Below are 25,395 nucleotides of genomic sequence, written 5' to 3'. Positions count from 1 at the left end.
AGGTTCACAGTAAACCCATTAGGTAGGTATTACTATTATTGCATTCTAGTCTAAAAATTTTAAGCCCGCAAAGATTAATTTGTTCAAGTGACACAGCTTTAAATGGCAAAACATTTATTATTATTCGTTTTAAGATATAAAAATGTCTGATGTACTCCCATGTGCAGATTACTGGATCACTCCCTTTGCTTTTGTGACGTGGGAATATAGCTGAAGAAAAAAATGCAATTATGACCTCATAGTTATTGAAAAGAGTTTTTTCTCTTATGTACCAATAAATATGCTATCATTGGAGATGAAGTGTTACTGATATGTAACGGTAACATTTTTCTGCAGGTGTTGACTATAAAAATATCATTATGTGATAAAAAATTTAATGAAAATAAGATGTTGTTTTGCTTTCTCAATTATATTTCTCAAAAAATTAAATAATATGTATGAAAAAGTACTTATAACAGTGAGACAAGAAACCATGTGCCCACAGCCATGATTAGAGATACAAGAGTGTCACTGATACCTTTGAAAGCTCTCAGGTTATCCTTCCCCAAGCCACCCTCTTTATCAGAGCTCACAATTATGCTGAATTTGGTGTTTATCACTCTCTTCCTTTTCATTGTATTTTGACTTTCCACATATGCTTACATTTCACACGGACATATTGCTTAGTTTTTGTGTTTTCTTTTTTTTTTTAATTTATTTATTTTTTATTGATAATTCTTGGGTGTTTCTCACAGAGGGGGATTTGGCAGGGTCATAGGACAATAGTGGAGGGAAGGTCAGCAGATAAACAAGTGAACAAAGGTCTCTGGTTTTCCTAGGCAGAGGACCCCGCGGCCTTCCGCAGTGTTTGTGTCCCTGGGTACTTGAGATTAGGGAGTGGTGATGACTCTTAACGAGCATGCTGCCTTCAAGCATCTGTTTAACAAAGCACACCTTGCACCGCCCTTAATCCATTGAACCCTGAGTGGACAGAGCACATGTTTCAGAGAGCACAGCGTTGGGGGTAAGGTCACAGATCAACAGGATCCCAAGGCAGAAGTTTTCTTAGTACAGAACAAAATGAAAAGTCTCCCATGTCTACTTCTTTCTACACAGACACGGCAACCATCCGATTTCTCAATCTTTTCCCCACCTTTCCCGCCTTTCTATTCCACAAAGCCGCCATTGTCATCCTGGCCCGTTCTCAATGAGCTGTTGGGCACACCTCCCAGACGGGGTGGTGGCCGGGCAGAGGGGCTCCTCACTTCCCAGTAGGGGCGGCTGGGCAGAGGCGCCCCTCACCTCCCGGGTGGGGCGGCTGGCCGGGCGGGGGGCTGACCCCCCCACCTCCCTCCCGGACTGGGCGGCTGGCCTGGCGGGGGGCTGACCCCCCCACCTCCCTCCCGGATGGGGCGGCTGGCCGGGCAGAGGGGCTCCTCACTTCCCAGTAGGAGCGGCCGGGCAGAGGCGCCCCTCACCTCCCGGACGGGGCGGCTGGCCGGGCGGGGGGCTGACCCCCCACCTCCCTCCCGGATGGGGCGGCTGGCCTGGCGGGGGACTGACCCCCCCACCTCCCTCCCGGACGGGGTGGCTGCCGGGAGACGCTCCTCACTTCCCAGACGGGGTGGCTGCCGGGCGGAGAGGCTCCTCACTTCTCAGACGGGGCGGCTGCCGGGCGGAGGGGCTCCTCACTTCTCAGATGGGGCGGCCGGGCAGAGATGCTCCTCACCACCCAGACGGGGTCGCGGCCGGGCAGAGGTGCTCCTCACATCCCAGACGGGTCGGCGGGGCAGAGGCGCTCCCACATCTCAGACGATGGGCGGCCGGGCAGAGACGCTCCTCACTTCCTAGATGTGATGGCGGCTGGGAAGAGGTGCTCCTCACTTCCTAGATGGGATGGCGTCCGGGCGGAGACGCTCCTCACTTTCCAGACTGGGCAGCCAGGCAGAGGGGCTCCTCACATCCCAGACGATGGGCGGCCAGGCAGAGACGCTCCTCACTTCCCAGACGGGATGGCAGCCGGGCAGAGGCTGCAATCTCGGCACTTCGGGAGGCCAAGGCAGGCGGCTGGGAGGTGGAGGTTGTAGCGAGCCGAGATCACGCCACTGCACTCCAGCCTGGGCACCATTGAGCACTGAGTGAACGAGATTCCGTCTGCAATCCCGGCACCTCGGGAGGCCGAGGCTGGCGGATCACTTGCGGTTAGGGGCTGGAGACCGGCCTGGCCAACACAGCGAAACCCCGTCTCCACCAAAACCAGTCAGGCGTGGCGGCGCGAGCCTGCAATCGCAGGCACTCGGCAGGCTGAGTCAGGAGAATCAGGCAGGGAGGTTGCAGTAAGCCGAGATGGCAGCAGTACAGTCCAGCTTCGGCTCAGCATGAGAGGGAGACTGCGGGGAGAGGGAGAGGGAGAGGGAGAGAGCAGTTTTTGTGTTTTCTAATCATTATTTAGGTAGAATTAATAAGATGTTCTTTTGTGACTTGCTTTCTTTACTCAACATTAAATGTGTATAATTCATCTTTGTTGATTTGCTTCAAGTAATTTATTTTTACCAATATGTGGTCCTCCAGTAGGGAACATGGTACAATTGATCTGTTCTCTGTCCATGGACATTTGAGGTATTGCAGGCAATCCTGCTCTGGAAACATTCGTACGTGTCATATGTTGCACATGTACAAGGATTTCTCTTGCGTATATTAACTAGCAGTGGAATTGTTGGGTTATAAAGTATGTGTATCTTTACCTTTACTAGGGAATAGTTTTTAAAGTGGTTGTCTTCATTTACACTCATACCATTGTGGTAGGAGAGTTCCTTTCATTCCACAATTGCTTAAGAAATTGAGTGCTTTTCATATATTAACCTTTGTTTCTGTCTCCTGTGAAATGGCTGTGCATGGCTTTGGACTAAGTTTTCATCAAGTTGTATTTTTCTATTAATGTATAGGAGGATTTTATATATTCTATATCCCATTATTTTTGTTGGTTATTTGTGTTGCTAAAAGGCTTTGATTTGTAGCTGCTCTCGTCACACTTATGTAACATTCTTAATAACGACTAAATGGGTTGTATCAGTTCTTGCTGGTACTATTCATGTTCTGGGATCTGTTTAAGAAATTCTTTACTACCTTGACTTTGTAAAGAAGTCTTCTATCTTTATTTCTAATAATTTTAACATTTCTTCTTTGTTTTTTAAATTTTATTTTAGGTTCAGGGTACATGTGCAGATGTGTTATATAGGTAAGTGGCATGTCACGGGGGTTTGATATACAGGTTACTTTGTCACCCAGGTAATAAGCATAGTACCCAATAGTAGTTTTTTGATCCTCACCCTCCTCCCATCCTCCACCCTCAAGTAGGCCCCAGTGCCTGTTGTTCCCTTCTTTGTGTCCATATGTACTCAATGTTTAGCTCCCACTTATAAGTGAGAACACATGCAGTATTTTCTTTTCAGTTGCTGTGTTAGTTTGCTTAGAATACTGGCCTCCAGCTTCATCTATGTTGCTGCAAAGGACATTATCTCATTCTTTTCTATGGCTATGTAGTATTCCATGGTGTATATGTACCACATTTTCTTTATCTAGTCTGCTGTTGATGGGCATTTAGGTTGATTCCACGTTTTTGCTATTGCAAATAGTGCTGCAATGAACATATACGTGCATATGTGTTTATGGTAGAACGATTTATGTTCCTTTGGGTATGTACCCAATAATGGGATTGCTGGGTTGAATAGTAATTTTGCTTTGAGTTCTTTGAGAAATTGCCAAACTGCTTTTTTTACAGTGGCAGAACTAATTTACATTCCCCCCAGAAGTGTGTAAGCATTCCCTTTTCTCCACAACTTGCATCTACTATTTTTTGACTTCAAGACAACATTTAAACCTAGTTGACTTAAAAGCCCAAGACTTTGCACCCTCAAATATATCTCAAGCCTCACACATCTGTACATCATTCAGTTGCCAAGTATTTTTCATCATAACCTAACTTCACTGAAGTAAAAAACTTACTTATTTTTCCTGCCATGTTGTATCCGTCACCTTCACAAATGCACCTATAACCTAAGCTGCTGCCAGCAAATAGTAGAAATGAAAGCCTGTTACTTCATTTTTTGAGTATGCTGAGTTTTTTTTTTCTATACCATAAACAACATAGGATAATGGGATTTGAAGTTAGGGAACTTGACTCAAATCCTCTTTCTAAATCATGCTCCTTTTGTGCTCTCAGAAAAGCTAACCACTTTGAGCTTCAATTTTTATGACTATGACAAAAGACATATCTACCCTGAGGGCTGTCAGGACAAGTGAGATGATACAGGTGAGACCTCTAATACTTAGGAGGTATTCAGCCAGTGAGAGGCAATACCATATAAGGTAGTGGTTCTCAAAGTGTGGTCTCGGATTTCCTGGGGTCCTTGAGACCTTTGTAGGTGCCCTATAAGTTCAAAACTATTTTTGTAATAATACTAAGACCTTATTTCTCTTTTCACAAGTTTACAGTAGTATACTCCATAGGCTACAGAACACGAGATATCATAACAGATTGAATGCAAAAGCTGCTAAGAGAATCCAGAGGAAAGTAGTTCCTTCCAAACTTTGCTTGGCATTGGAATTAAGACCTTGGATTCTGGAACCGGCTGCCTGTTGATACTATGGCTCTGCCATTGCAAACTTTATGACCTTGAGCAAATTACTTACCCCCTCTGTGCTTCAGTTTCCTTTTCTGTAAAATGGGTATAATAATACAATTCACCTCCTAGGACTTTTGTGAGATTAAATGAGTAACACCTATATAATACTTAGAATGATGCCTGGAATATAGTAGTGGTTCCACCAATATTTGCCTTCATTATTTTTACTATTGTTAGTATTCTAGTTGATCAGCTCTTTAACATTGATGATCTTGCAGCATTAATGTAGAATTTATGGGCCAAACCATTCCACCAACCAGCTCATCTTTCCACACACCACTGGAGTAGGAGCCACTGGGTGGAGTCTCTTAGTGAAATCAACAGGAGATGTCATCAACCAGAGAAGTTAGATGACTGGGTCACCCCAGGCCTTGGGCTTTGGTTCCTATCTTTGCAACACCACATTGCTGTCCTTTAGTTGAAATAATGCATGACTAACAGAGGTGACAACACCAAGGTGACCATTTGATTTGGGGAGAGGTGCAGATGGCATTGCCAAGAGGCAGAATGTGCTTTATCAGTCAAAATGTCCCCAGAACCCCTTCACTTGAGCCACTCCCCTTTGCTTCAAAGAGTTCCCAGCCTTAAGATTCTATGTGTCCTTTGGCTTTCCCTTACAAGCAGAAGTCATTGCTACATAATATTTTAACACATCTTTATTCTCACAGTGCTAGTCAACAACATTGTTCACAATCACAATCCTCTGAGTGGCACCCCAAAATTGAGAAAGGCAGAGAAATGAATAATTCAATAATGCTGAAAGTCATCAATGTAATCAAAATTCCCTGTAATAGAAGAAGAAGAAAAAAAAATGAAGAGTCATGATGTTGGCACAGTAACGGTTTTCCTGATTATAATGACATAGTGATGCCCAGATAATAAAAGCTTCCCCAAATATCTCAAGTGTATCTGATGCTTAGGAATCAAATCAGTGAAGGATTTTCAGAGTATGCATCTATTTAAGCATAGGATAGCATAGCATAGAATAGGATAGCATAGCATAGCATAGCCTAGGATAGCATAGCATAGTACAGCACAGCATAGGATAGCATAGCACTGCATTGCATAGCATAGCATAGCATAGCATAGCATAGCATAGCATAGCATAGCATAGCATAGCATAGCACAGCATAGGATAGCATAGCATAGCATAGCATAGGATACCATAGGATAGCATAGCATAGTATAGGATAGCATAGCATAGCATAGGATAGCATAGCATAGCATAGGATAGCATAGCATAGGATAGCATAGCATAGCATAACATAGGATAGCATAGGATAGCATAGCATAGCATAGCATAGCATAGGATAGCATAGGATAGCTAACATAGCATAGCATAGCTAGCATAGCATAGGATAGCATAGCATAGCATAGCATGGGATAGCATAGCATAGCATAGCATAGCATATTATCTTTTTAGAGAAAGGCATATAAAAATACATTTTTGATTTATATATGTAGGAAATAGTCCATTTTATAAATGCATAAAATGCAAAGAAATGCATATATAAAAGGTGGTCTAATGAAGGGGAAAGAAAGAAGGTGAAGAAACAGGAAAAAGAACTAAAAATAGAAAAGAAAAAGAGGGAAAAAAGAAAACTATTGGCTTAGTAAAAGAGAAAGCGAAAGAGACATAAGAAGCATACGCTAGTAGTTCACCGTTTTTTTGGTTTCTTTTTTGTCTTTTTTTTTTTTTTGAGACGGAGTTTCACTCTTATCAGCCAGGCTGGAGTACAATGGCAGGATCTCGGCTCACTGCAACCTCCAACTCCCAGGTTCAAGCGATTCTCCTGCCTCAGCCTCCCGAGTAGCTGGGATTACAGGTGCCCACCACCAAACCCGGCTAGTTTTTGTGTTTTTAGTAGAGACGGGGTTTCGCCATGTTGGCAGCGCTGAACTCCTGACTTCAGGTGATCTGCCCACCTTGGCCTCCCAAAGTGCTGGGATTACAGGCATGAGCCACCATGGCCCGGCCCCACCTGTGTTTTTTTCAATCACAGCAAAAGACCTTCAAAATATTTTGTATTTTGGCAACTATGAGCACAAATAGAGATACACATCTTGTCAGTAGCCCAGAGGCTGCAGACCTGCACTTACCAGTTAAAGTTTGCAGTCTTCTGAGAGCTTTACTTTATACTTAGGTTGCAAAGGTTAATATGGTTAACATCCTCTCCTGAAGCCTTATTTGTCTACTATATTTTAACTATAGATTGAAGAGCTATTTTAGAGCCACATGGTTTTTAATGGCCACTTAATATTTCATGGTGTAGTTTGTCATCATTCATTTATTCTTTTGTGACAGGAACTGATTGATTTCCTCTTTTTTTCTGTGTTTTTTTGTTTGTTTGTTTTACCCCTCTGAACAATGCTGCAATAGCATTGTTGTACATATACCATTATATACAGGTGGTTTAATTACTGTAGAGATAGACATCTGGGTTAAAAGGTCTGTTTATCATTCAGGTAGGTAAATGTTGTATCCTTGCTTCCCAAAATGGCAGTGACATTGCACACTTCTAGTCCTGATATACAAGAACATTGTTTTCACCAGTGATAAATACCAGCCATAAATTATAACTCATTAATTTTTGCCAGTCTAGTGATGTAAATATTAGTTCATTGTTAAATTAATTGACATTTCCCTGACTATTAGTGAATTGGAGCATTATTGTATGTTTGGCCATTGTAGTTTCCTTTTTGTAAATTCTTTCCTCATATTCTTTATCTTTTAAAAAGAAAATTTTTTCTTGACTTCTTGTCAGTTATATGCACTCTGTATATAAACACATGAAAATGTTGCTGTTATCTGCTTTAAAACTATATTTTCCATTTTTAACTATATCAAAGTTTATATATAAAGAAGTGTATTTTGGCTGGTTGCGCCAGCTCATGCCTGTAATCCTAGCACTTTGGGAGGCCGAGGCTGGTGGATTGCCTGAGCTCAGGAGTTTGAGACCAGCCTGGGCAACATGCTGAAACCCCATCTTTACTAAAATACAAAAAATTAGCTGGGCATGGCAGCATGAGCCTGTAATCTCAGCTACTCGGGAGGCTGAGACAGGAGAATCACTTGAACCTGGGAGATGGAGGTTGCAGTAAGCCGAGATGACATCACTGCACACCAGCCTGGGCAACAGAGTGAGACTTCATCTCAAAAAAAAAAAAGAAGAAATGTCTTTTATCTCTTTTTCTTTCCACGTCAAGATATATCACATTTTTATCACCCCAGTAGGTTCTCTTGTGTCCCTTCCCAATCAATCCTCCCACCCTATTGAGAGTCAACCACCCTTCTGATTTCTAGCATCATGTGTTAAATTTGCCTGTTTATTTTTTATCTGAAATTGTTTGCCTCGGTATAATAAATTGAAATTCATTCATGCTCCTCTGTGTCAGTAGGTTGTTCTTTTATATTGCTGAGAAGTATTCTATTATTTGAATAATTAGCCATTTTGTTGTTGATAGAAATTTGAGTTCCTTATCAGTTTAACTATAATGAATAGGACTGCTATAAACATTTTTGTCTATATCATGAGACATAAAGTAGGTGTATGATTAACTTTTTAAAAAACCACCCAATAGTTTTCCAAGGTGGTTGAACCATTTTCCGTTTCCCATTTCCATCAAAAGGGTATGAGAGTTCCAGTTGCTTCACATTCCTTCCAACACCCGGTATTGGTGGTCCTTTTAATTAAAATGATTCTGGTGTGTGTGGAGTAGTGTCTTATTGTGATTTTAATTTGCATTTATCTGATGATTAATAATGTTGAGCACGTTCTCATATGCTCACTAGCCATTTATCTATCTTTCTTTGTGAACTGCTTGCTCAAGTCTTAATCTTTTTTTGGCCTTTTTATTATTGATTTTCAGGAGTGCTTAATATATTCTGGATGTGGGTCTTTTGTGAGAGAGAGATATATATAGAGAGAGGAAATTTTCTCCCTTTCTGTGCTTTGGTAGTCCATTTTATTTTATTTTTCCCCTATATTTAGTCCCTTTTATGTTTTATCTAAGAAAGCTTTGTCTACTACCATGGTCGTGAAGATATTCTCCTAAGTTCCCTGCAGCCCACCCACTCAAGCTTTATAGTTTAGGATTTCACATTTAGGTGTATCACTGATTGATGTTTGAATGTGAAATCAATTGTGTACTTCTGATATCCACTGACTTGGCCACGGTATATTATCATATATTATGCTGAATTTGATTTTGTTAATATTTTATTTCAGATTTCTTCACAAAGTTTACAAGATAGAGTTACCCGTAATTTTTAAATATTTTATAATGTCCTTATGTTTTCATGTCAAACTTGTGACAGCCTCACATGAATACTCGTGAGTTGGGAAGTGAACTGAAAGTATTCAGTTTGGTGTTGTTTCTTTTCTAAATGTTTGGAAGAAATTAGTCTGCTCCTGCAAGGCTTTGCTTTTTCTTTTTTGAGAGAAAGTTTTAAATTATGTATTTGATTTTTTATTAGATATAAGCCCAATCAGATATATACATTTTTTCCTGTGTTAGTCATGGCGGGTGGTTTTGCATAGTTTTGGTAGGTAGGTTTTATAAGGAAACAATCATCTAATGCATCAAATAATTTTTATGTTAATAATTTCCTCATATGTTCTTGGCTATTGTATTGATAGTGATACACCTTCATTTCTGATAATGATAGTTTGTGTTTTCTCTTTTTTCTTTTTAAATATCTAGGGGTTTACCAATTTTATTAGTTTTTCAAACATCCATATTTTAGCTTTATTTTATCTTATCCATGGTTTGTGTTGTATTTCATTAGTTTTTATCTCTATTCTTTGTTATGTCTATTATAGAATACTATATCTCAATTCTTTCATTTTCTTTAAATTTAATTTTTTAATCTAATTTCTTGGTATGAATATTTAGATAATTTACTTTTTAGTCTATTTTCCTTCCCAATACTTGCCTTTGAGGTCGTAAAGTTTCCTCTAAGCACACTTTAGTTGTAATCAATTTATATAAATATTTCTATTATTTTGTTTTTAATTTTTTTATGTCTGTTGTAAATTCTTTGAGCCTTGTATAACTTAGAATTTCAAAACAGTTTTGGGGATTTTTTTTTTGCCTTTTTAAAATTGACATTTAATTCAATTCCATTGTTTTCAGACAATATACTGTATATGATTTCAATTCTTTGAATTTTGTTGAGGCTTGTAGGCTCAGCACATGGCTAATTCTTGAAAATGTTCTAAGTGAAATCTGTCAATTTTTTCAGTTGTTTTTATTTCACTTTCATTGTGTTTTTGTTGTTGTTGTTGTTTTTGAGACGGAGTCTTGCTCTGCTGCCCAGGCTGGAGTGCAGTGGTGCAGTCCCGGCTCACTTCAACTTCCGCCTCCCAGGTTCAAGTGATTCTCCTGCCTCAGCTTCCCGAGTAGCTGGGATTAAAGCTGCCCACCACCATGCCCTGCTAATTTTTGTATTTTTAGTAGAGATGGTGTTTCACCATGTTGGCCAGCCTGGTCTCAAACTCCTGACCTCAAGTGATCTGCCCACCTTGGCCTCCCAAAGTCCTGGGATTACAGGCCTGAGCCACTGCGCCTGGCTATTTCACTTTCATTTTTGAAGAACATTTTCACCAGGCCTAGAATTCTGGGTTGGCATTATTTTGTTTGAGCACTTTAAAGATGTAATTCTATTGTCTTATCACTTCCATCAGTTAGTTAGATAGGAGGAATAAGTTCAAGAGATCTGTTGTACAGCGGGGTGCCCATAGTTAATGACAGTATATTGTATTCTTTTTTTATTATTATTTTACTTTAAGTTCTGGGATACATGTGCAGGACGTGCAGGTTACACAGGTATACATGTGCAATGGTGGTTTGCTGCACTTATCAACCTGTCATCGAGGTTTTAAGCCCCACACGCATTAGGTATTTGTTCTAAAGCTCTCCCTCCCCTTGTCCCACTACCCCCCAACAGGCCTTGGTGTGTGATATTCCCTTCCCTGTGTCCATGTCTTCTCATTGTTCAACTCTCACTTATGAGTGAGAACATAAGGTGTTTGGTTTTCTGTTCCTGTCTTAGTTTGCTGAGAATGATGGCTATTGTATTCTTAAAAGTGCAAAGATAGTGAATGTTAAGTGTTCTCACTGCAAAAGTGATAACTATGGGAGGTAATGCCTTTGTTAATTAGCTAGATGTAAACATTCCACAATGCATATATGTACTTCAAAATATGTTATACATGATAAATACATATAATTTTATCTGTCAATTAAAAATGTCAGTTGACAGTATTATAATTGTAGTTATTTGGTGTAGTGTTCATTCTATATATGACATTTAGGTCAATTTTATCAATTGTATTCAAAATTCTGTAATTTTATGGTCTGTCTACATATTCTTTCAGTTGCTGAGAAATGTGTGCTAAAATTTCTTATGATGATTTTAGCTTTCTCTACTCATTCAGCTGAGTTAGCTTTTCCTTTTGGCTTTGAGTTGTTATTAGGAGCATTCAAACCTAGAAATGTAATATTTCTCTTGTGAATCGACCCTTTTATTATAGAAAGTCCCCTATTATACGTTTAGCAATGCTTCTTGCCTTAAATCTATTTGTTTGTTACTAGTGTAGCTGTTTCTTGTAAACAGAATGCAGTTGTGTTTTGTTTTTTAAACTCTTATTTACTGGGACCATCTTTTTTTAAAATTTTAAATTTTTTAATTTTCTATTTTTATGGGTACATAATAGTTTTACACAGAAAATCTTCTAGTTCACTTTCTTTTATTTTATATTCCCTGAGGTATTTTAAAGTTTATCATTTCTTTCTTTTTTTTTTTCAAGTCTTGACATTTTTATTATTGAGGAGTATTTCAGACTGACAGATAATAAGAGAAGGTAGGTTATGCTGACAAATAGTAAGGATATACCCATTTTTTTTGTCGAGTTTCTAAGTCAGCTTGGAAAACTATTGGCTTATCTCCTTTCTTTTTTTTTCTTTTTTTTTTTAATGGCCTTTTTCTTTTTCTTTTTTTTTATTATACTTTAAGTTTTAGGGTACATGTGCACATTGTGCAGGTTAGTTACATATGTATACATGTGCCATGCTGGTGCCCTGCACCCACTAACTCGTCATCTAGCATTAGGTATATCTCCCGATGCTATCCCTCCCCCCCTCCCTCCACCCCATAACAGTTCCCAGAGTGTGATATTCCCCTTCCTGTGTCCATGTGATCTCATTGTTCAATTCCCACCTATGAGTGAGAATATGCGGTGTTTGGTTTTTTGTTCTTGCGATAGATTACTGAGAATGATGATTTCCAATTTCATCCATGTCCCTACAAAGGACATGAACTCATCATTTTTTATGGCTGCATAGTATTCCATGGTGTATATATGCCACATTTTCTTAATCCAGCCTATCATTGTTGGACATTTGGGTTGGTTCCAAGTCTTTGCTATTGTGAATAATGCCGCAATAAACATACGTGTGCGTGTGTCTTTATAGCAGCATGATTTATAGTCCTTTGGGTATATACCCAGTAATGGGATGGCTGGGTCAAATGGTATTTCCAGTTCTAGATCCCTGAGGAATTGCCACACTGACTTCCACAATGGTTGAACTAGTTTACAGTCCCACCAACAGTGTAAAAGTGTTCCTATTTCTCCACATCCTCTCCAGCACCTGTTGTTTCCTGACTTTTTAATGATTGCCATTCTAACTGGTGTGAGATGGTATCTCATTGTGGTTTTGATTTGCATTTCTCTGATGGCCAGTGATGGTGAGCATTTTTTCATGTGTTTTTTGGCTGCATAAATGTCTTCTTTTAAGAAGTGTCTGTTCATGTCCTTCACCCACTTTTTGATGGGGTTGTTTGTTTTTTTCTTGTAAATTTGTTTGAGTTCATTGTAGATTCTAGATATTAGCCCTTTGTCAGATGAGTAGGTTGCAAAAATTTTCTCCCATTTTGTAGCTTGCCTGTTCACTCTGATGGTGATTTCTTTTGCTGTGCAGAAGCTCTTTAGTTTAATTAGATCCCATTTGTCAATTTTGTCTTTTGTTGCCATTGCTTTTGGTGTTTTAGACATGAAGTCCTTGCCCATGCCTATGTCCTGAATGGTATTGCCTAGGTTTTCTTCTAGGGTTTTTATGGTTTTAGGTCTAACGTTTAAGTCTTTAATCCATCTTGAATTGATTTTTGTATAAGGTGTAAGGAAGGGATCCAGTTTCAGCTTTCTACATATGGCTAGCCAGTTTTCCCAGCACCATTTATTAAATAGGGAATCCTTTCCCCATTGCTTGTTTTTCTCAGGTTTGTCAAAGATCAGATAGTTGTAGATATGCGGCGTTATTTCTGAGGGCTCTGTTCTGTTCCATTGATCTATATCTCTGTTTTGGTACCAGTACCATGCTGTTTTGGTGACTGTAGCCTTGTAGTATAGTTTGAAGTCAGGTAGTGTGATGCCTCCAGTTTTGTTCTTTTGGCTTCGGATTGACTTGGCGATGTGGGCTCTTTTTTGGTCCCATATGAACTTTAAAATAGTTTTTTCCAATTCTGTGAAGAAAGTCATTGGTAGCTTGATGGGGATGGCATTGAATCTGTAAATTACCTTGGGCAGTATGGCCATTTTCACGATATTGATTCTTCCTACCCATGAGCATGGAATGTTCTTCCATTTGTTTGTATCCTCTTTTATTTCCTTGAGCAGTGGTTTGTAGTTCTCCTTGAAGAGGTCCTTCACATCCCTTGTAAGTTGGATTCCTAGGTATTTTATTCTCTTTGAAGCAATTGTGAATGGGAGTTCACTCATGATTTGGCTCTCTGTTTGTCTGTTGTTGGTGTATAAGAATGCTTGTGATTTTTGTACATTGATTTTGTATCCTGAGACTTTGCTGAAGTTGCTGATCAGCTTAAGGAGATTTTGGGCTGAGACAATGGGGTTTTCTAGATATACAATCATGTCATCTGCAAACAGGGACAATTTGACTTCCTCTTTTCCTAATTGAATACCCTTTATGTCCTTCTCCTGCCTAATTGCCCTGGCCAGAACTTCCAACACTATGTTGAATAGGAGTGGTGAGAGAGGGCATCCCTGTCTTGTGCCAGTTTTCAAAGGGAATGCTTCCAGTTTTTGCCCATTCAGTATGATATTGGCTGTGGGTTTGTCATAGATAGCTCTTATTATTTTGAAATACGTCCTATCAATACCTAATTTATTGAGAGTTTTTAGCATGAAGGGTTGTTGAATTTTGTCAAAGGCTTTTTCTGCATCTATTGAGATAATCATGTGGTTTTTGTCTTTGGCTCTGTTTATATGCTGGATTACATTTATTGATTTGTATATATTGAACCAGCCTTGCATCCCAGGGATGAAGCCCACTTGATCATGGTGGATAAGCTTTTTGATGTGCTGCTGGATTCAGTTTGCCAGTATTTTATTGAGGATTTTTGCATCAATGTTCATCAAGGATATTGGTCTAAAATTCTCTTTTTTGGTTGTGTCTCTGCCCGGCTTTGGTATCAGAATGATGCTGGCCTCATAAAATGAGTTAGGGAGGATTCCCTCTTTTTCTATTGATTGGAATAGTTTCAGAAGGAATGGTACCAGTTCCTCCTTGTACCTCTGGTATAATTCGGCTGTGAATCCATCTGGTCCTGGACTCTTTTTGGTTGGTAAGCTATTGATTATTGCCACAATTTCAGCTCCTGTTATTGGTCTATTCAGAGATTCAACTTCTTCCTGGTTTAGTCTTGGGACAGTGTATGTGTCGAGGAATTTATCCATTTCTTCTAGATTTTCTAGTTTATTTGCGTAGAGGTGTTTGTAGTATTCTCTGATGGTCGTTTGTATTTCTGTGGGATCGGTGGTGACATCCCCTTTATCATTTTTTATTGCGTCTATTTGATTCTTCTCTCTTTTTTTCTTTATTAGTCTTGCTAGCAGTCTATCAATTTTGTTGATCCTTTCAAAAAACCAGCTCCTGGATTCATTAATTTTTTGAAGAGTTTTTTGTGTCTCTATTTCCTTCAGTTCTGCTCTGATTTTAGTTATTTCTTGGCTTCTGCTAGCTTTTGAATGTGTTTGCTCTTGCTTGTCTAGTTCTTTTAATTGTGATGTTAGGGTGTCAATTTTGGATCTTTCCTGCTTTCTCTTGTGGGCATTTAGTGCTTTAAATTTCCCTCTACATCCTGCTTTGAATGCATCCCAGAGATTCTGATATGTTGTGTCTTTGTTCTCATTGGTTTCAAAGAACATCTTTATTTCTGCCTTCATTTCATTATGTACCCAGTAGTCATTCAGGAGCAGGTTGTTCTGTTTCCATGTAGTTGAGCAGTTTTGAGTGAGATTCTTAATCCTGAGTTCTAGTTTGATTGCACTGTGGTCTGAGAGATAGTTTGTTATAATTTCTGTTCTTTTACATTTGCTGAGGAGAGCTTTACTTCCCAATATGTGGTCAATTTTGGAATAGGTGTGGTGTGGTGCTGAAAAAAATGTATATTCTGTTGATTTGGCGTGGAGAGTTCTGTAGATGTCTATTAGGTCTGCTTGGTGCAGAGCTGAGTTCAATTCCTGGGTATCCTTGTTGACTTTCTGTCTCGTTGATCTGTCTAATGTTGACAGTGGGGTGTTAAAGTCTCCCATTATTAATGTGTGGGAGTCTAAGTCTCTTTGTAGGTCACTCAGGACTTGCTTTATGAATCTTGGTGCTCCTGTATTGGGTGCATATATATTCAGGATAGTTAGCTCTTCTTGTTGAATTGATCCCTTTACCATTATGTAATGGCCTTCTTTGTCTCTTTTGATCTTTGTTGATTTAAAGTCTGTTTTATCAGAGACTAGGATTGCAACCCCTGCCTTTTTTTGTTTTCCATTTGCTTGGTAGAACTTCCTCCATCCTTTTATTTTGAGCCTATGTGTGTCTCTGCACATGAGATGCATTTCCTGAATACAGCACACTGATGGGTCTTGACTCTTTATCCAATTTGCCAGTCTGTGTCTATTAATTGGAGCATTTAGTCCATTTACATTTAAAGTTAATATTGTTATGTGTGAATTTGATCCTGTCATTATGATGTTAGCTGGTTATTTTGCTCGTTAGTTGATGCAGTTTCTTCCTAGTCTCGATGGTCTTTACATTTTGGCATGATTTTGCAGCGGCTGGTACCAGTTGTTCCTTTCCATGTTTAGTGCTTCCTTCAGGAGCTCTTGTAAGGCAGGCCTGGTGGTGACAAAATCTCTCAGCATTTGCTTGTCTGTAAAGTATTTTATTTCTCCTTCACTTATGAAGCTTAGTTTGGCTGGATATGAAATTCTGGGTTGAAAATTCTTTTCTTTCAGAATGTTGAATATTGGCCCCCACTCTCTTCTGGCTTGTAGGGTTTCTGCCGAGAGATCCACTGTTAGTCTGATGAGCTTCCCTTTGAGGGTTACCCAACCTTTCTCTCTGGCTGCCCTTAACATTTTTTCCTTCATTTCCACTTTGGTGAATCTCACAATTATGTGTCTTGGAGTTGCTTTTCTCGAGGAGTATCTTTGTGGCGTTCTCTGTATTTCCTGAATCTGAACGTTGGCCTGCCTTGCTAGATTGGGGAAGTTCTCCTGGATAATATCCTGCAGAGTGTTTTCCAACTTGGTTCCATTCTCCCCATCACTTTTAGGTACACCAATCAGATGTAGAGTTGGTCTTTTCACATAGTCCCATATTTCTTGGAGGCTTTGCTCATTTCTTTTTATTCTTTTTTCTCTAAACTTCCCTTCTCGCTTCATTTCATTCATTTCATCTTCCATCGCTGATACCCTTTCTTCCAGTTGATCGCATCGACTCCTGAGGCTTCTGCGTTCTTCACGTAGTTCTCGAGCCTTGGTTTTCAGCTCCATCAGCTCCTTTAAGCACTTCTCTGTATTGGTTATTCTAGTTATACATTCTTCTAAATTTTTTTCAAAGTTTTCAACCTCTTTGCCTTTGGTTTGAATGTCCTCCCATAGCTCAGAGTAATTTGATCGTCTGAAGCCTCCTCTCAACTCGTCAAAGTCATTCTCCATCCAGCTTTGTTCCGTTGCTGGTGAGGAACTGCATTCCTTTGGAGGAGGAGTGGCACTCTGCTTTTTAGAGTTTCCAGTTTTTCTGTTCTGTTTTTTCCCCATCTTTGTGGTTTTATCTACTTTTGGTCTTTGATGATGGTGATGTACAGATGGGTTTTTGGTGTGGATGTCCTTTCTGTTTGTTAGTTTTCCTTCTAACAGAGAGGACCCTCAGCTGCAGGTCTGTTGGAGTACTCTGCCGTGTGAGGTGTCAGTGTGCCCCTGCTGGGGGGTGCCTCCCAGTTAGGCTGCTCGGGGGTCAGGGGTCAGGGACCCACTTGAGGAGGCAGTCTGCCCGTTCTCAGATCTCCAGCTGGGAGAACCACTGCTCTCTTCAAAGCTGTCAGACAGGGACATTTAAGTCTGCAGAGGTTACTGCTGTCTTTTTGTTTGTCTGTGCCCTGCCCCCAGAGGTGGAGCCTACAGAGGCAGGCAGGCCTCCTTGAGCTGTCGTGGGATCCACCCAGTTGGAGCTTCCCAGCTGCTTTGTATACCTAAGCAAGCCTGGGCAATGGCGGGCGCCCCTCCCCCAGCCTTGCTGCCGCCTTGCAGTTTGATCTCAGACTGCTGTGCTAGCAATCAGCGAGACTCCGTGGGCATAGGACCCTCCGAGCCAGGTGCGGGATATAATCTCGTGGTGCGCCGTTTTTTAAGCCCGTCGGAAAAGCGCAGTATTCGGGTGGGAGTGACCCGATTTTCTAGGTGCCGTCCGTCACCCCTTTCTTTGACTCAGAAAGGGAACTCCCTGACCCCTTGCGCTTCCCAAGTGAGGCAATGCCTCGCCCTGCTTCGGCTCGCGCAGGGTGCACGCACCCACTGACCTGCGCCCACTGTCTGGCACTCCCTAGTGAGATGAACCGGGTACCTCAGATGGAAATGCAGAAATCACCCGTCTTCTGCGTCTCTCACGCTGGGAGCTGTAGACCGGAGCTGTTCCTATTTGGCCATCTTGGCTCCTCCCCCCTCATTTATTTCTTAAAACATGATAAATATTGTGGTTTTAAAATCTCTTCTAATATACTTAGTATCAGAAATTTACAGGTGATTTTTTTTTTGCTATGTTCTGTTTCTATTAGTTGTTATTCGCATTGTCTTATTTCTTTTTAGGCCTCTTTTGAGTGCTTACTGTTAATTTTCAATGGAAAATTTGATGGGAATTTATTAAGATTAATGAATGTTTTTCTCCTAGATAGACTTCGGTTTTGCTTCTGCCAGGTACCAGGGGCACCACATACCAAGACCAAATTCAGGTAAAACATTCTTGCCTTATCCAGTTTATGCCTAGCAAAGGTCAGTGGGGATTGGGGCGTGCAAGGAGGTTGTCAAGGGGTTTGTTTGGCTTGTGGCCACACTTCTCAAATACTTTTCCTTTTTAAACTTTGTTCAGCGACTTTGCTATTTTGGGGCAGGGTACGTTGTATATCTTTTTGCCCTTACCTGAAGAGCGTAGTAGCCTATCAAAGACCTAGTTTAATACGGAGAAAATCTCTCTTAAGTCTTTATACTTTGAGTGGATGTGAAACCTTGACTTCTTTCTCTTTCAGTCCACATGGGCCAGGGATTGGATTCCAAATAAGCATCACTGGCAAATGGGTCTGAAGGCATAAGTAGCTTTCATGCTCTTCAGAGTTCCACTTGTAAATTTCAGGTTGCAGGCTTTCATCTAAAAATTGATCTAGTAGTTCCAGCTGACCTTTCAGCTTTTTAATGTCTTTAAGGTTGTTTTGTTTTTTAATAAAAAGACTTCTGTTTTCAGAGAAGAGTTAATCCACATAGCCATACTTAACCATTACCAAAATCAGTCTCCCTATTTTCTGCTCTTTAGTCCTGCTTTCTGTGGACCTGGTGCATTCAAATATTAAGTATTTCTTAGGCTCTGCTGTAAGAAATATCTTCTAATATGACTTCCCCCTGCTTTGCCTTAGATGGTGGGTTTTCAATTTCCTCAGCAATTTTTGTGTGTGTTTGGTAACTCTCTTTTTCTCTCCATGTGGATCAAACCTTTTACATTCTTTTACACTAATCTTAGTGGTATTTTGAAGGCAGCTAAAATAAATGCCCCTTTTCAATCTTATCATGCTTTATCGGAAGTTCAGCCTGTTAAAACCAAATCAAGAACTGTAAAAACACACCACTGTGATTCTAATGTACATATAGGGCTATAAACTACAGCCATACTGCTGTACCTTTTTTTTTTAGATTTATATTTGTATCATACTGATTTGTGTATGTTTTATCTCTTGTGCTCCTGTGAATTCCTAAAGGTGGGAGTTATAATGTGTTTATTTTTCTCTTCCACAATGCCTGGTGTAATGTCTATCAAATATTATGGATTTCATAAATGTTTGTCAGTAAAAGAAAATACATGTGTCCACAACATGATCTGAATGGTGCTGATTGAGTGCTAATAAATATTTTCTATTAAGCCCTTTACTCATCACTCTATAAATGCAACATACTTACCAAGAACAGGACAGTAACAGCCTTACACTGACTATTTTGGTGAGAATAACCACAAATGTAGTTTTGATCTAGGATGAAACCAAATGTGAGGAGAATGATTCCAGCTATTGCTCCCAGGGCACTAAGAAAATTCATTATTCGGCTCAATATTATCTGAAATAGAATAAGAACATAACAATGTGACTGAGGTCCAGCCTGTACTACAAACAAAGCAATGAGTGCGGAGAATGGAGAGCAGGATTTTAGTCACAGCATCTTAATGCCACGAGGCAGCTCTGTGATCCTGTGCGAATTGCTTCACATCTTTGGGCTTCAGGCCTTCATCTACACAATAAGGGGATCTTGTGAACTTTTAGTAACCTTTCCATTCCCCATATTCTATGCCTAAGTTAACTCTTATTCAGTTGGGAGGAAGGGTGTGCCTGTAACAATTGCATTTTGATTTTCTGGTGAAAGTCATGGTCTGTTTACATTTTTATTTTAAGACTCCTAAGTTTAACTGAATGCTGCACTTCTCTGCCATTTTTAATTTCTCCCTAAAATGACAAACTAAGGATTTTCAGTCCTTTGCTAAAATCTTTTGTTGGCATAGTAATATCTTATGTCTTCAATTCTTTGAGTAAAGTAAAAATATTCTACTTATAATTTATCTATAACTTTACATTCAGTAGCACTGTATTCTTTATTTTGAGATTCTGTTTATGGTTTAATTAGATTGTCTACAGTTTGCCTTTCGTATGAGTCAAAGTAGTGCCTGTCAAAGTGCCTGGTATGCCGTAAATACCCAGAAAACAAAAAAGAATGAATAAGTAACTGGAATGTTGAAATAATTCTACCATTAATTGGCTGGGAATTTGGACAAGCTATTTAACGATTGTAAGCCTCAGTGTCTTCATACATAAAATAAGAGCTAAACTAGATGACCTAGAGAAACTTTCTCCTCTAGCATAATGGGTTATAATTCTAGGAAAACAGGAAGCAAATGCTGTTTATTGGTATTAATACTTGATAGTTTGTGGAATTATGGTGACCTAATGATTTTACAAATTTTTTTCAAGGCCAGGATAAATTATTTGAAAGTTATATATTTTTAATAAAGTGGAAATAGTGAAAATGTAACTCATTACTTTTTTTTGTTTTTTTTTTTTGAGATGGAGTCTTTTCCGTTGCCCAGGCACGATCTCGGCTCCTTGCAACCTCCACCTCCCAGGTACAAGCAATTCTCCTGCCTCAGCCTCCTGAGTAGCTGGGACTACAGGTGTGTGCCACCACACCTGGCTAATTTTGTATTTTTAGTAGAGATGGGGTTTCACCATGTTGGCCAGGCTGGTCTTGAACTCCTGACCTCATGATCCACCCGTCTTGGCCTCCCAAAGTGCTGGGATTACAGGTATGAGCCACCATGACTGGCTACAAAATATATTTTTAATAAAGTAAGAATATAACTCACCAGAGTTTCTGTGGTTTTTCTTTTCACTGCAATTAGGAAGGCTCCAGAATTAATGAACTGTTAAGAGGAATAAATATGTTAATGATGACCATGTTTAGCTGATGTTGAGTTCTTACAGAATAGACCTCTATGCATTTCTTTTACAGGCCCGCCTTCTAAGTTCACACACTCCTCAGGGCAGTGAGAAGGGTGAGTTGCTTTATATGACTTTCCACAAATGGAATAGTGGACAAAACACTGGTCTGGAAATCTCCTTTAGCCCTAACTATTTATTTGAACATGAACATTTTTTTTAACCGTACAGGGCTTTGGTTTACTCATCCATGTTCTTTTTATAGCTATTGTGGACTCAGCTTTGATCTCATGACAAAGGGATTTCAAGTCAGTTTATAATCATTAAGATTGGATTCCATCTTACTGCAATCCAGTGTGTTCTCTTGGATGGGAACATAAGGTGGGGTTGCAGTGAATGTGCTGGTAGTTCTTAAAATCTCCAAGATTTTTCTTGGAAGTGGGTCACACGTGGTAGCATTGTTGTCTAGTGGAAATTTCAAATCTGATTACAGCACTTCCATGTTTAAATTTCCAGCCCCTTCATGGGTATTTTCCAGCCTCATCTCTCCATCCTCACTCCCTGTGCTGAACTCTTATAGTTCACATAATAGAAAATGCTCTCCCATACCTTCAGCCTGTGCTCATATTTCTCCCTTGGCATGCAACAAGACATCCCTAATCCTTACACTTGGGTATCCCAACTCCCATCTTCTGTGTGTGTGTCCTCACCTGATTAACCATTCACCCTTTAAAACTTGGTCAAGCTGGAAATGTCTCTGGGCGTTGTCCCCTCTGTTTTGTTGATGCCTTTCCTATGGAGGCAGCCCCTGTGTTTATTCTCCCTCATCACACCCTGTGTTAATTGTCTGACTCCTCACTCAACTGAGACCTTGAGCTCAGGCACTGCTTTCTTTTCCCTGAAGCCATTGCTCTGCCCATTCTCTGGCACTAAATTAGGTCCTAAGTTAATGTTTATTGATTGTGACTACACTGGGTTTAATAAATACCTCTCCGCAGCTCAAAAGGTATATCTGAGAAACCCTTCCCACTTCACTTCTGTAAAGAATAAATTGCTCCTTCATCTCTGCTTACATAAGCATTTCCTGCACCTCTGTGATAACATTTATCACACTGACTTGAAGTGACCTGTTTACATGTTTTCTTGCTAGACTGAGAGGTCTTTGGGGGAGAGGCCCATTGCCTTTCTCTGTGTATCTGGCTTATAATAAATAGTAACTAATTTCAAATGAATGAATAGCCAAATAAACAACTGCAAGCCTCAAAAGAAGTATTCCCAAAGGAACTTCAAGACCTAATGATGGAATATCAGTGACTGTGATGAACTAATGGGGAAATAATTTCAACAAGGTTAGTTTTTTGCACTTTTGAAAGCATGTCATACAACTGGATCTAGCTTATTTCATTGTGAAGAATTCCCTAACATCCTGGTTGGCATGGCTTCAAATTGAACTTGATTGACTATACTCACCAAAACAGAGCCCCAGAATGGATATCCTGAAAGAAATATAAAGGGAAACCTTGGATATGGTTTTAACAAGGTGAAAAGGAAGATAACTCCAAAAGAAAAGGTCATAATTCCAAACAGGATCTGGATAGTCTGCAAATAGAGGAAAAAGTCATGGTGAGGAAAAGCAAAGTGATAGTTTCCCTTCTGTTTAGAATATCTTCTTTTGGTCAAAAGGATTTGGCAATTACTCTCTTTGGTAATTAGGGGAAGAATAATAGAAGTCCCTTTATGATGCTCCTGGGTACTTTCTTAATTCCTCTATCTGGTATTTGGTGATAGGTAAAATGATCTAAATCAGTGCTCCTGAAAATGTGGTCCATGGATTGGCAACATCAGGATCACTTGGGAGCTAGAAATGCGAACTATCAGGCCCTATCCCATACTTACTGAACGGTCTCCAGGTGAGGCTGGGAAACCTGTGTCTTCATAAGTTCTTCAGTTCTTTAGCCCATAAATGTGAATGTCTGAGAAACACTGAATTCTAAATGAGTATACCAGGCTGGCCTCAAGCAGAATTGGACTGTGAGGAGCCCTGCCTGGAGATGGCCAATTCTCTGAGCCTCTTGAGGTATTGTCACACTCTCAGGCCCAGAGGACTCTCCATCTCTTCGGGTTTTTTTTTTTTTTCTCTCCCTCTCTGAGCCACTCATGTGATGCACTGTGACACCAAGCAGTGGTTTGACAAGTGCTGGGAAAGACTAATGAGGACAATATACAAAAATGGAAGGTATACAATATACAAAAACGTGTGAGTCTATGTGCTCTGCTCTCTTCTTCTCAGTCCACCTTCTCAGTCTGAGTAATCTCATTTACTGCCATAGCAACTATCACTTTTTAAGTAGGTGAGTCCTAAATGATAGCATTTTTTGTCAAGTCCAGACCCACATGATTCGTTCTTCTCAAACATCCTCTCTCAAATGGCCCACCAACACTCTATATTCACATTGTCTTAAAGAAGAATTGGAATAGGCTCCTACCTTCAAACATGTGCCAACAGATAATTTCCCTAGCCTTTCCCCTGCCTCAGTAAAATATACATAGGGGCAAGTCTTACTTACCCCTAAGATTTTCATTTTTCTAGCAAATAATTTTTGCAAGGGGCTTTGAGTTGAAAAGGTCGTGGCTGAAAGTTCTGTGGACTCATATTCTGAAGCAGTGATTTCTGGAGGAAATACCAGAAACACCGGACTGTGTGCGGTGCTTGAATCCATGATGGTGTCGGTGATAATTTGAAAGGAGATGATTTAGTTGGTACTTCAGTCTAGACCATGTTCTTTTCTTGTGCTGAGGCTGCCTGGAGCACTGGAATTGTTTGCTTTGTCTTGGAATTATAGAACCATAGAGTCACAGAGTCATAGAATCTCAGGACTGCTCAAGATCCCAAGATGGCTATAAGTAAAATGCCTGGGACTGGGGATCAGAGAACCTGACAAGTAGTCCTGGTTTAGTTAGGAGTTTACTGTGACTTTTGGCAAGTCACATCCCCCTCTCCTGGTTTCTGATTCCTCATATATACATTGACCAAATTGGACTAGATGATCTACATATAAAGACATTTTAGGGACCGCGCATGGTGGCTCGCGCCTGTAATCCCAGCACTTTGGGAGGCTGAGGCGGGCGGATCACCTGAGGTCAGGAGTTAGAGACCAGCCTGGCCAACATGGTGAAACCCCATCTCTACTAAAAATATAAAAAATTAGCCGGGTGTGGTGGCACGTGCCTGTAGTCCCAGCTACTCGGGAGGCTGAGGCATGAGAATCACTTGAACCCAGGAGCCGGAGGTTTCCTTGAGCTGAAATTGCACCACTGCACTCCAGCCTGGGCAACAGAGCAAGACTCTGTCTCAAAAAAAAGGACATTTTAGTTACCAAATGGCAACTAGATACACATTTATTCCAGTTCCATATCTTCAGACACAGGTAGAACGCAAAATCTCTCAGGCCACGGAACAAATTAACCACTTCTTGAAGTATAGATAACATCCATTTTTCCTGTCACTTTGTGGTTTTGCCACCTGATTTAAGTAGCTTTAGCTGTGTAACAAATCCCTCAAAATGTAGTTAGTTCCAGCAACCACCATCGGCTTTTGTTTACACATCTGTGGGTCCTGTGTGTGGTCTGTCTCATCTAAGGCTGCTCAGCACTTCTCTACCAGGCTGTCTCATGCAACTGTGGTCACCTGGTGGAGTGTCCAATTACATGAATTAGGATGGCCTCAGTCATGTCTCTGGCAGTTGGCAGACTCTTGGTTCTCTTCCAATTCACAAATACTTTTCAAACCTCTGCTGAGTCATGTGTGTTAATGTCATATTGGCCAATCAAATTTCATAGACAACCCAGATTCGAGGGGTAAGAAAATAGGCCCCCTAATGTCTTCATGGGAGGATCTGTACTTTCATCTTGAAAGGACAAGAAAGAAAGGGAAGGGAACAATTTGTGTCTGTTTTTAACTGTACCTTGTCATTTTCTGGTGTTTCCTATTGAGATCAGGTCTTCCTTAATTGAACCTCATGATGTGACAGCCTCTAGCCACTTACCAGTTGCCAGTTAGAATATTTTAAAAGGCCACCCCTCCCTCACAATTTCTTTTCTCTGAACGTATCCATCTCTTGTTCAGTTTTCTATGGACGTTGAATCATAATGGTGATTATCCTTCATGAACATCATCTGATGTTGTGTTAGCATTCCCTAAGTTAAGCACACTATGTTGCAACATACTTTTATAAAACACCATTTCACCCTAATTACTCAGGTTTTAACTTTGCTCTATACCTTCCCCAGTTTTTGTTTTTTCTCCCTCTAAGCATGATGACTAGCACAGTGTTATAATAGCTATCTGACAAATGGCAGAAATATAACTTTAATTTTTTATTGTTCTTTGTTTTTTATTATTCTTTAATTCATGCAATCTGGTGATGCAGTGGAAGACTTACTCTTTGGAGAAGAGAAACCTAGAATGAACCCCAAGCCCTTTTATTTACTATTTATGGGGTCTAGGCTAAGTTATCTATTAATTTACATATTTATTAAAATATTACATTTCCTTTATGAGAATAAAAATTGTTATACAGTTATTGTGAGTAAATTTTAAAGTACCTGGAGTGTAGTAGATGCTAAGTAAATTGTAGTAGTAATAAAAATAAGAGTAATAAGTATTATTTCTCTTATTATTGCCATTTTTAG

The 25,395-nt window shown here is 40.0% G+C and overlaps 1 protein-coding gene across 1 annotated transcript; it reads right to left on the bottom strand.

Moving 5' to 3' along the window:
- Positions 5,306-23,526, bottom strand: MS4A5 (membrane spanning 4-domains A5). The gene is made up of 5 exons (NM_023945.3): positions 23,271-23,526; positions 22,174-22,302; positions 20,631-20,687; positions 19,181-19,333; positions 5,306-5,449 (listed from the first exon to the last, which is right to left on the bottom strand). The coding sequence occupies exons 1-5, from the start codon at positions 23,421-23,423 to the stop codon at positions 5,339-5,341; spliced, it is 603 nt and encodes a 200-aa protein (NP_076434.2). The 5' UTR covers positions 23,424-23,526; the 3' UTR covers positions 5,306-5,338.
- Positions 23,527-25,395: the final 1,869 nt, after the last annotated feature.

Source organism: Homo sapiens, chromosome 11 (assembly GCF_000001405.40).
Source record: "Homo sapiens chromosome 11, GRCh38.p14 Primary Assembly".
Classification (NCBI taxonomy): Eukaryota; Metazoa; Chordata; class Mammalia; order Primates; family Hominidae; genus Homo; species Homo sapiens.
The sequence above is the reverse complement of the archived record's forward strand: the minus strand, read 5'-3'. Positions and strand labels throughout refer to the sequence as shown.

What these genes read in the sequence shown, in the direction of transcription:
- MS4A5 (NM_023945.3), bottom strand. Translation starts at nt 23,423, where the DNA reads ATGGATTCAAGCACCGCACACAGTCCGGTGTTTCTGGTATTTCCTCCA. An exon ending in GAAAAATGAAAATCTTAGGG is followed by an intron (nt 22,303 to 23,270) that starts GTAAGTAAGACT and finishes CTCTATTTGCAG; the next exon opens with ACTATCCAGATCCTGTTTGG. An exon ending in CTGTTACTGTCCTGTTCTTG is followed by an intron (nt 5,450 to 19,180) that starts GTAAGTATGTTG and finishes CTTCTATTACAG; the next exon opens with GGAATTTTGATTACATTGAT.